Source organism: Homo sapiens, chromosome 7, assembly GCF_000001405.40.
Source record: "Homo sapiens chromosome 7, GRCh38.p14 Primary Assembly".
NCBI lineage: Eukaryota > Metazoa > Chordata > Mammalia > Primates > Hominidae > Homo > Homo sapiens.
In genome coordinates, this window is record NC_000007.14 from 102318396 (window position 1) to 102328629 (window position 10234).

At 53.6% G+C, this 10234-nt stretch overlaps 1 protein-coding gene and 1 long non-coding RNA gene across 16 annotated transcripts in view, besides 3 other annotated features; one reads left to right on the forward strand and one right to left on the reverse strand.

Moving 5' to 3' along the window:
• Window positions 1-3316, forward strand: part of SH2B2 (SH2B adaptor protein 2) — a 36571-nt gene extending 33255 nt beyond the window's left edge. For all 14 annotated transcript variants that reach the window (NM_001394426.1, NM_001393990.3, NM_001393991.3 and 11 more), the window contains 2 exons: window positions 1936-2107; window positions 2904-3316. In NM_001394426.1, coding sequence (NP_001381355.1) covers window positions 1936-2107; window positions 2904-3235 — 504 coding nt within the window. In that variant the 3' untranslated portion in view covers window positions 3236-3316. The remainder of the gene's footprint in view (window positions 1-1935; window positions 2108-2903) is intronic.
• Window positions 297-797: an enhancer, noted in NCBI's record as "H3K4me1 hESC enhancer chr7:101959159-101959659 (GRCh37/hg19 assembly coordinates)". NCBI's record gives its function as "activates a minimal SCP1, AML or CMV promoter by ChIP-STARR-seq in naive H9 embryonic stem cells {active_cell/tissue: H9 hESC(naive)}" and the evidence as "EXISTENCE:reporter gene assay evidence [ECO:0000049][PMID:30033119]".
• Window positions 1426-2138: an enhancer, noted in NCBI's record as "H3K4me1 hESC enhancer chr7:101960288-101961000 (GRCh37/hg19 assembly coordinates)". NCBI's record gives its function as "activates a minimal SCP1, AML or CMV promoter by ChIP-STARR-seq in primed H9 embryonic stem cells {active_cell/tissue: H9 hESC(primed)}" and the evidence as "EXISTENCE:reporter gene assay evidence [ECO:0000049][PMID:30033119]".
• Window positions 3564-4312: an enhancer, noted in NCBI's record as "H3K4me1 hESC enhancer chr7:101962426-101963137 (GRCh37/hg19 assembly coordinates)". NCBI's record gives its function as "activates a minimal SCP1, AML or CMV promoter by ChIP-STARR-seq in primed H9 embryonic stem cells {active_cell/tissue: H9 hESC(primed)}" and the evidence as "EXISTENCE:reporter gene assay evidence [ECO:0000049][PMID:30033119]".
• LOC107986717 (uncharacterized) lies at window positions 8650-10234 on the reverse strand. 2 transcript variants are annotated; one of them, XR_001744970.3, is made up of 3 exons: window positions 10144-10234; window positions 9498-9580; window positions 8650-8973 (listed from the first exon to the last, which is right to left on the reverse strand). It is a non-coding gene; the product is annotated as an uncharacterized LOC107986717 (long non-coding RNA). The 2 variants fall into 2 exon arrangements; XR_001744968.3 differs by having other exon boundaries at window positions 9498-9600.

The window sequence follows — 10234 nt, forward strand, 5'->3', positions numbered from 1 at the left end:
CCCAAAGTGCTGGGATTACAGGCGTGAGCCCCCACGCCCGGCCTATTGACCTGAAATTCAAAGGAAAATTTGACAGCAAAGGCAAATGATTATGGGGGGGTGCAATGTGGCCAGAGGGGGCAGGAACCTCAGTGCCCACCCCCGCATCCCAGGTTTCCGATAAGGAAACACTCAGCCTGGGCTCCTGCCAGGACGGATTTCCTGGCGGCCCCTACTAGAGGAGGGAGAACCTTAGGACTCCTGCTCCAGGCCTGCAGCTGGGGGACAGTGTCTCTCTGCAGGGACCCCGGCTGCCCTAACCCCTAGTGGCTCAGTGCAGAACCTCTGGTGGCTTCTCTCCTCCTCCAGGTTGGCCCCACCATGCAGGAGGTAGCACCTCCACCAGGGACATTTCCTTGGCAAGCAGCCACCCTTACAGTTCCTCCGACAACCAGGTGCTTAAGGCCATCCCTGGTGACGTGCAATTTACTTCTCAGCCAGTGCTGCTCCAGGCAGCCTCCCAGAGGGCCTGGATCTGACTCATGCCCAAGCCAGAGGCTAGGATGGGGGAACAAAGGGTGGGTGGCAAGCTCCTCTCCTTCCTGGAACAAGACCCAGCCTTGAACCTGCCTCTCACCTCTCTACCCAGCTGCTCTTCTCCCAGAGTGGAGATGACTGCCCCAGGCCTGATAAGTAAATGGTGGGACAAAGCAGGAACCCCAGCCTCCAGCTTACATACCTCCTGGGAGGGAAGATCACTACCTTCCCAGAGGCAACTCTTTCCACCTTCACAGAATAAATGTCTGGAAGGTCTGGCAGAAGATTGGGATGCGTCCAACTTGCTTCTTCTCTCCCCAGGGACCCAGCTGTGCCCTGCGCAGGCTCTGCCCAGCTATGAGGCTGTGGTGGGACCCCTCTGTGCTGTTTCTTTCGGGCTGAGTCCCTGCATTGTCCTAGCAACTTATTCTGCTAAGTGGCAGAGCTCACTTGTGGGACCGCCACCCCGCTCCAGGGATTGTCTGTATTTTTTTGTTTGTTTTTTAAAGGGTTGGGGGGTATCTCACCATGTTGGCCAGGCTGGTCTTGAACTCCTGACCTCCCGTGATCCATTCCCCTCAGTCTCCCAAAGTGCTGGGATTACAGGCGTGAGCCACCACACCTAGCAGATTGTCTGTCTTTTATGCAGGTGGCCAGACCAGCTCCCCCTCCTGGGCTTGGGGCTATGCGTGTACCCTCAAACCACTCCTCTTAGCTCCCCTCTTGCCCCACACACCCCAGAGATAGCCACTTGTTTCTGCAGTGGGATACATGTTGAGCAAAATAGGGCTTAAGTCAGAGACCTGCAGCTCTCCACTAGACACCACAGGCCTATGGTTTCTTACCCTGAGGCACCTGCCTCACACAGGCCCTAGAGACCTAGAGAGAAGCCAGCCCTGTTCCAGCTGTTCCCACAGCGTGCGGTCACTCCTCCCCAGCCAGCCCTGGGGAGCTTTCCATGCCTCCGGGTTTTGGCTCTGCAGGGACAGAGGGCCAACCTCTAGCCTCCTGGGCTGGGGGAACCACCCAAACAGGAGTTTTCTTCCCTGCTCTGTGCTCTGTGACCATGGGCCAGTCACTCCCCCTCCCTGGGCCTTGGTTTTCCTATCTCTAACATGGGGGCAGTAATCCCTATCTTCTGGCATTAGGGAGGGGATTAGAGATTATAGGTGTGTAGGGCATGGGCCCATAGTGGAGGTGCTCCCAGCATGGGGACAATGCCTGATGCCTTCCATCTCAGCCTGGGTCCGTTGCCCCCATTCCCCATCTCCAGATGGGGCTCATGTGTGAGGGGCCCCCGGCCCTGACACAGCCCCATACAGCCCCTGTGAGCCTTGGTCCTTCCATCAACCCCCAAAGGCGCTTACCCAGGTGCCCAGCCCCGGACCTGCCCCTGACCACACCCACCTGTACCCACAGCACCTGCGCCTGTCCCTGAACGGCCACGGCCAGTGTCACGTACAGCATCTGTGGTTCCAGTCTGTGCTTGACATGCTCCGCCACTTCCACACACACCCCATCCCACTGGAGTCAGGGGGCTCGGCCGACATCACCCTTCGCAGCTATGTGCGGGCCCAGGACCCCCCACCAGGTAAGATGCCGCCACCTGGCTGGTGTGATTACTCAAGAAGACTTCCCGTTGATTACTCAAGAAGGTGGTCCCTGGGGTGGGATGAGCCCCAGGTCTCCTGTCCCATAGCCTCAGCCGTGTCCCTCCCACCCTAGCCTAGCCACAGCAATTTCAAGCAGTCACGTCATAAGGAATGGAGGCAGAAGTGGCAGCCTAGAGGCAGCCAGGTCCCTAATGATTCCTGGCAAGGGGAAGGGGGCGCCCAACAGCAGTGCAGGTGGGTGTATGGGGGTGGGGACAGGGGTGTGGATTGGGGCAAGTGGGATGAAAGGAGCTGGGCATATGGATTCTTAAGCCCTGCACTGGGGAGGCTCAGAGCAAAGCTGCTGGGACCGAGCACTAAGGGCATGGGTGCATGTGCATGCGTGTGCTTGTGTGTGTGCATGAGTGTATGTGTGCATGTGCCCGTGTGCGTACGCTTACGTGTGCGTGTGTGCGCATATGCATGAGCGTGTGCATGCGTGCATGGGCACGCGTGTGCTTGTGTGCCTGTGTGCGAGCGTGTGCATTATGTATGCGTGTGTGTGCACTCCTGTGCATGTGGCTATATGGGCGTGCACACGCGTGGTTAGGTACATGTATGTGTGTGTGCTTCTGTTTATGCATGTGGGCGGGTGTGCTTGCATATGTGTCCGAGGACATGGGCTGCAACTCGGAAACCTGAGCGTGGGCCCTGGCCCCTTGAGGGATCCCGGCCTCCCTGCAGGATGTGGCCAGCCCAGGTCCCCACTCACGCCCTGCCGTCGCCTTGTTGCAGAGCCGGGCCCCACGCCCCCTGCCGCGCCCGCGTCCCCGGCCTGCTGGAGCGACTCGCCCGGCCAGCACTACTTCTCCAGCCTCGCCGCGGCCGCCTGCCCGCCTGCCTCGCCCTCCGACGCCGCCGGCGCCTCCTCGTCTTCCGCCTCGTCGTCCTCTGCCGCGTCGGGGCCCGCCCCCCCGCGCCCCGTCGAGGGCCAGCTCAGCGCGCGGAGCCGCAGCAACAGCGCCGAGCGCCTGCTGGAGGCCGTGGCCGCCACCGCCGCCGAGGAGCCCCCGGAGGCCGCGCCCGGCCGCGCGCGCGCCGTGGAGAACCAGTACTCCTTCTACTAGCCCGCGGCGCCGCCCGGGTGGGACACGCCAAGCTCTTCAGTGAAGACACGATGTTATTAAAAGCCTGTTTTAGGGACTGCACCCGGCTCTCCTGTCGTCCTTTCTCCCACGGGGAAGGCGGGGACTGCGGGGCAGCCACTCTCAGAGACACCCGTCCATCAGGGACCCCCGTCCAGCCCAGTGTGGCCTGACACCTGCCAGGCCCCCTTGCAGCTCTGTCTCTGGTGGGACAGCTGAGGGACTCCCCATGGGGCGTCGGGCAGCACCTGAAAGAGGGCCCAACAGCAAGGGTTAGGGCTTAGGATCGGGAGGGGGCTTTACTGGAGCTGTGAGGGAGAGAGATGGGAGGTGGTAACAATGAGGGGTGCTGAAAAGAGAGGAGGGGGCATTCAGGACACAGTGAGGGATGGGGAGCACGCCCAAGTCATACGGAGAGCTTGGATGCCAGGAGGAGGAGTCGAGGCCCGGACTGGGAGGGTAAAGGCGTTTTTAGACAGATCTATGAAGCCTGGCGGTGTGGACAGGGCGGCAGGGCAGGAAGAAGCCTGGCGGTGTGGACAGGGCGGCAGGGCAGGAAGAAGCCTGGCGGTGTGGACAGGGCGGCAGGGCAGGAAGAAGCCTGGCGGTGTGGACAGGGCGGCAGGGCAGGATGTCTCCATATTAGCCCTTAGGGGATTGGGCAATGGAAGAGGCTGGATTTCCCAGCTCGGTGGTAGACTTAAACTTGGAAGAAGCTTAAAGAGCCCTCCCACCCACCGCGCTCCACCTCATTCACACCCAGCCCCCACCCCGTCTCATTCCCACCCCACACCTACCCACAAGTGGAATTCCAGCTGTGACTCCCATGACCCCAGGCTCTGGAGACACTGCTTGCTGGCAGTCCCAGGACCCCAGTCCCCAGGCAGTGTTCAAGAAAGATCCTGTTCCTACTAAGCCAAACCTCTGCCTTCCCCACAACACCCCAGACCTGGGGTCACAGACCCACAGTCCCCTTGCCCAAGACTGGCCTTGCAGGGCTTGGGTCAATGATGCATCCATCTATTTTTCTTTCTTTCCCCTTCCTTCCTTCCTTCCTTCCTTCCTTCCTTCCTTCCTTCCTCTCTTCTCTTTCTCTTCTCTTTCTCTCTTTCTTTCCTTTTCTTTCTTTTTCTTTTTTGAGACAGGTGCAGTGGCACAATCTTGGCTCACTTGCAGTCTCAACTTCCCGGGCTCCAACTATCCTCCCACCTCAGCCTCCCAAGTATCTGAGACTACAGGCGTGCACCACCACGCCTAGCTAATTTTTTTTGGTAGAGACAGGGTTTCACCATGTTGGCTAGGCAGGTCTCGAACTCCCGAGTAATCCTGGGTGGGAGGCGATCCACCCACCTCAGCCTCCCAAAGGGCTGTGATTATAGGCATGAGCCACTGCACCTGGCCAATGATGCAGATTTCAGATCCCTAGACATCTAAAGCTCTCAGGACTGTAACTAAGACACAGCCTCTTCCCCATAAAAGGGGCATGAACACCCTTGGGTGGCTCCCAGGGCTTTCAGCCACCCAGTCCCCATGCACAACATCATCAGGAAGTGACAGAGTAGGGCCCCCTGCTACCACCATGATGAGGGAAGAATACAAATTCAGCGATCAGGAGAGCACCCTGCTACCTCTGCTTCTAGCACCTTCATTCGGTTGTGGCTGGAGTCCTTCTGCCCCCGTGCCCTGGTGGTTTGGGGTCTATGCTAGGCCAAGTGCAAGTCCCCATTCCACTCCAACAAGAACAGAGCGGGCTCTGGACTGAGGCTTGGGCTGGGCAGACGAACAGGGGCAGACTTAAGACTTAGACCCACCAGGTGGGGGCAGTGGTTCACGCTTGTAATCCCAGCACTTTGGGGGGCCAAGGCGGGCAAATCATCTAAGGTCAGGAGTTCGAGACCAGCCTGGCCAACATGGTGAAACCCCTCCTCTACCAAAAATACAAAAAAAAAAAAAAAACTAGCCAGGCGTGGTGGTGCGTGCCTATAGTCCCAGCTACTTGGGAGGCTGAGGTGGGAGGATCGCTTGAACCCGGGAGGTGGAGGTTGCAGTGAGCCAAGATCGCGCCACTGCACTCCAGCCTGGGTAACAGAGGGAGACTCCATTTCAAAAAAAAAAAAAAAGACTTGGACACAGAGTGTGCAAGCCTTCAGGCCCTCCTGTCCTTTCCTCCTGATGTCGTCAGCCACAGCAGAGGCCACTCTCCATGCCGAATGCTCAAAACAGAATCAGCACAGAAGCAGGCAAAAGCACTGATTGACTGTCACCTTTGCTCAATGGGGGGCTCATGCACATATGCACACACATAGAGTATAAGACTGTGGGAGAGGGTCTGTGCCAATCCTAAGGGGGCAGGCGCTGTTCCTGGGGTGTTCCCAGGTTAAAGTGAATTCGGGGGGGGACAGCAGAAGTTGATACGGTGACTGCCCCCCCCCGGGCTCTCCCAAGGGATGCAGCAGGAAGGCCCAGGAGGTCAGTGAAAAGGGGGCTCTCTCTTCAGTATGGTCACCAGCGTGAGATCCTCAAGCCTGTCACTCAAGAGGGTGGTTCCAGATAGCCCAGACTCAGTGGCTCTGGCGAAATCACAGCCATTGCACAGACGGCAGCAACATTTTCAAGGGGGTTTCATTTGTTCCTCAACAAGCATTTCAGATGCCTGCTCTGCGCCAGGCCAGGCCCATGGGGTAGCTGAGCCAAGCTTTGGGACCACAAGTGCCCTGGCTGACCTGTGACACTGGGTGTCGCAGACATGGGGGACTGCAGGCGCAGGAGCAGCGAGGTGGGATATGAGACCTGCAAGGTAGAGAGAGCCTTGAATGCCAGGCCAGGGAGTTTGGAAGGTGCTGAGAGCCAGTGCCAATTAAAATGGGAGCTGAGATCACCCTGTGGCCAGAGGGTTGGGGCAAGGATGGATTGAAGGCGGCAAAATGAGGCGGGGGGCCAGGGAGGCTGTGGTGGGTCTGGGTGAGGGGCAAGGGGCCAGGGCAGGGCAGCAGAGCAGGAGGACAGTGACGGAAGAAAGATCACAACCGGGTGTGGTGGCTCACGCCTGTAATCCCAACACTTTGGGAGGCCAAGGCGGGTGGATCACTTGAAGTCAGGAGTTCAAGACCAGTCTGGCCAACATGGCGAAACCCCGTCTCTATTGAAAATACAAAAATTAGCCGAGTGTGGTGGCACGTGCCTGTAATCCCAGCTACCCGGAAGGCTGAGGCAAGAGAATGGCTTGAACCCAGGAGGTGGAGGTTGCAGTGAGCCGAGATCATGCCACTGCACTCTAGCCTGGGACACAAAGAGAGACTTGTCTCTAAATAAATACATAAATAAATAAATAGAACTGGCGTACAAAACAAAATCAAATACAGTACAATAAAAATCAGTTCCTTCTGGTGGGCGTTTCTGTTATATTTTTCTTTTTTTTTTTTTAGGGGGCATGGTGTGACCGTGCTTTCATGGTCTGTCTTCCTACTGAAAATCAACATCAATCGAGCTTCTGCCTTCCTGCTCCGGGGAAGGGTTTTTTGTCCTCCCTGAGATCACCTTAGACCCTATTGGGCACTTCTAACTTAGAAAAGTTCTAGCCCATTTGGGGTAGAAGAAATAAACTTCCTGCGATGGCGAGGGGCTCTTACATCCCTAGTATTAAGAGACAGCAAAGCAGCCAGGCGCGGTGACTCATGCCTGTAATCTCAACACTTTGGGAGGCCGAGGCAGGCAGATCACTTGAGGTCAGGAGTTCGAGACCAGCCTGGCCAATATGGTAAAACGCCATCTCCACTAAAAATACAAAAATTAGCCCAGCGTGGTGGCGGCACCTGTAATTCCACCTACTCAGGAGGCTGAGGCAGGAGAATCACTTGAACTGGGGAGGTGGAGGTTGCAGTGAGCCAAGATTGCTCCACTGCACTCCAGCCTGGGCAACAGAGTGAGACCCTGTCTCAAAAAGAAAAAAAAAAAGCAAAGCGATACACTAATGTGAATGTTGAGTAATGAATCTCATTCATTGTCCCCAAATCCTATATTTATTTCTTATTTATTTTAAAGAGCATCTTGATCTGTTGCCCAGGCTGGAGTGCAGTGGGGCAATCACAGGTCACTGCAGCCTCAATCTCCTGGGCTCAAATGATCCTCCCACCTCAGCCTCCCAAGTAGCTGGGACTACAGGTGGGTGTCACCACACCCTGCTAATTTTTAATTTTATTGTAGAGACCAGGAGTCTCACTATGTTTCTCAGGCTGGCCTTGAACTCCTATCCTCAAGTGATCCTCCTGCCTCGGTCCAAAAGCCTTTTTTTTTTTTTTTTTTTCTGAGACAGAGTCTTGCTCTGTCACTCAGGCTGGAGTGTAGTGGTGGGATCTTGGCTCACTGCAACCTCTGCCTCCCGGGTTCAAGCAATTCTCATGCCTCAGCCTCCCGAGTAGCTGGGACTACAGGTGCCCACTACCACGCCCAGCTAACTTTTGTATTTTTAGTAGAGACTGGGTTTCGCCATGTTGGCCAGACTGGTCTTGAACTCCTGACCTCAGGTGATCCACCCACCTCGGCCTCCCAAAAAGCTGCAGTTACAGGCATGAGCCACCGCACCCGGCCTCAAAATCCTTTAATAAGAAAAAAACATGTATTTGGCCAAAACATGCATTTGGCTAGGTAGAAAGTTTTCTGCAGTGCCCACCCTTCCCCCTAAAAGGCCCTAAGCCAGGGATTTCTAATCTCTTTTGTGCCTCAGGCCCCTGACAGTCTGGGGAAGACTATTATAGCCTGCTTAGCATAATGTTTAAAGTGCACAGAATTAAATACATAGACTTGCAAGGAAAACCAATTACCCTGAAATTCAGTCAAAATACTAAATACAATTAAAAAGTAATCAAAATATTTTTTAAACTGGTGATGTGGTAATATACATGCTTCTTTATTAACACTTTAAATAGCAAGCTTTAATAGCAGCCCTCATAACTACTGTAATTTCAGTCAATGATGAGCATGAATGATACTTTGGGGTTCTGTAACAAACTAGACGCGCTGTGAAAAGATCCCTTATTTGAATAAGCTCAATGGCTCACATCTGTAAGCCAGCACTTCGGAAGACTGAGGTAGGAGGATCGCTTGAGGCCAGGAGTTCAAGAACAGCCTGGGCAACAGAACGAGACACACCCTACTCTGCAAAAAATACAGAAAACAGCCGGGCACGGTGGCTCACACCTATAATCCCAGCACTTTGGGAGGCTGAGGCGGGAGGATTGTTTGAGCCCAGGAGGTCGAGACCAGCCTGGGCAACATGGCACAACCTTGTCTTCTCTGCAAAAAAATACCAAAAAAATTAGCCAGGCACGATGGCATGCACCTGTAGTCCCAGCCACCTGGGAGTCTGAGGTGGGAGTATCACCGGAGCCTGGGAGGTCAGTTGCACCACTCTGTCTCAAAAAAAAAAAAAATGCTCTCTCATTCAAGGTTACCCTTCTATTACTCCAAGGATTCACCCCATAATCTTATCTTTCTTGATATGTTACATTCACTGAAATGTTCACATCAAATCAAGTTTGTAGACACTTGTCCTTACCACCTTACAAAAAGTGAGATGGTATCAACAGAGGTGAGACACGGCTTTACCTGCATGTCACTTTTGGCAGCTTTCACAGCATTGAAAAGATCATTGGCTGGTGGCTCTGACTGTTTCCGGCTATGACGATGTACCACTCGGGACCCTTTCTTTCGTTGTTTGCCACCTAATATGTATAAAAAGATCAGAAATATGAAAAAAAGGTAACAGTGACATTAACACTTGGTCTCATCATTATCACACAAGTAGGCTTACGCTGCCCATTCCACAGCACAGTCTGAGTTAGACTCAGTCCTGAAATAATTGATTTTTATACTGTTATGAAGTTTAACTTTTTTCCCTTAAAAAAAAAAAGTCCTTGAGTCCCCTTCCTATATCTCTATATCCTAACGTCCTTTTCTCTTCTTTTCTCTTCAAAATTTCTCCTCTTCCTATTTCCGTCCCTTAATACTTTGTAAATCTTGTCCTTTTTTGAACCATATCACCTGAACCTCTTTTAAGTTTTTTTCTTTTTTTTTTTTTTTGAGGCAGAGTCTCGCTCTGTCACCCAGGCTGGAGTGCAGTGGCGCAATCTCGGCTCACTGCCAGCTCTGCCCCTGGGGTTCACGCCATTCTCCTGCCTCAGCCTCCCGAGTAGCTGGGCTGCTTCCCCCACAAGATTCAAAAACAAAAGAAAACTGGCTGACTCACCGGTGTTGTTTTCGGTGGTCGTTTTGCTGCTTTCTTCTTCACATTGCGATTGAAGCTATCTTCAAAGTCACTGCCTTCATCAGCTAATAAAGAGTCAGTATTCCTGTGAGAAAGTACCGTTCTCTTTAAATATAACCACCCTAATTCCCTCCATATAAAAGGCTAATGAATTAGTTTCTCTGTCTCTCACTGCACCCCATCTCCATGAGAAAAACATATTCAGATTTTAAGAAAAAATGAGCTTATTGTTAGTAGGAAGTTGGGATAAAGTCTTTTTTTTTTTTTTGAGACAGAGTTTCACTCTCGTCACCCAGGCTGGAGTGCAATGGTGTGATCTCGGCTCACTACAACCTCTGCCTCCCAGGTTCAAGTGATTCTCCTGCCTCAGTCTCCCGAGTAGCTGGGATTACAGGTGTTTCACCATGTTGGCCAGGCTGGTCTCAAACTCCTGACCTCAGGTGATCCACCTGCCTTGGCCTCCCAAAGTGTTGGGATTACAGGCGTAAGCCACCACACCCGGCCAGGACAAAGTCTTAAAGGAAAACTTTCACATGAAAGCAATGGAGACGAAGAATGAGGAAATGAGGAGGGGAAGGACAACCCTTCCCAGTATTCTCTCCGAAGAAGAGAATCAAATGCTACTCACTTAGCGGGTAGAGAGATCACTGCTCTTTGTAGAGAAAAATAATCATGGCCCAGGAAGTCATCCATCATTCATCCATAAACGGGAGAGTAAT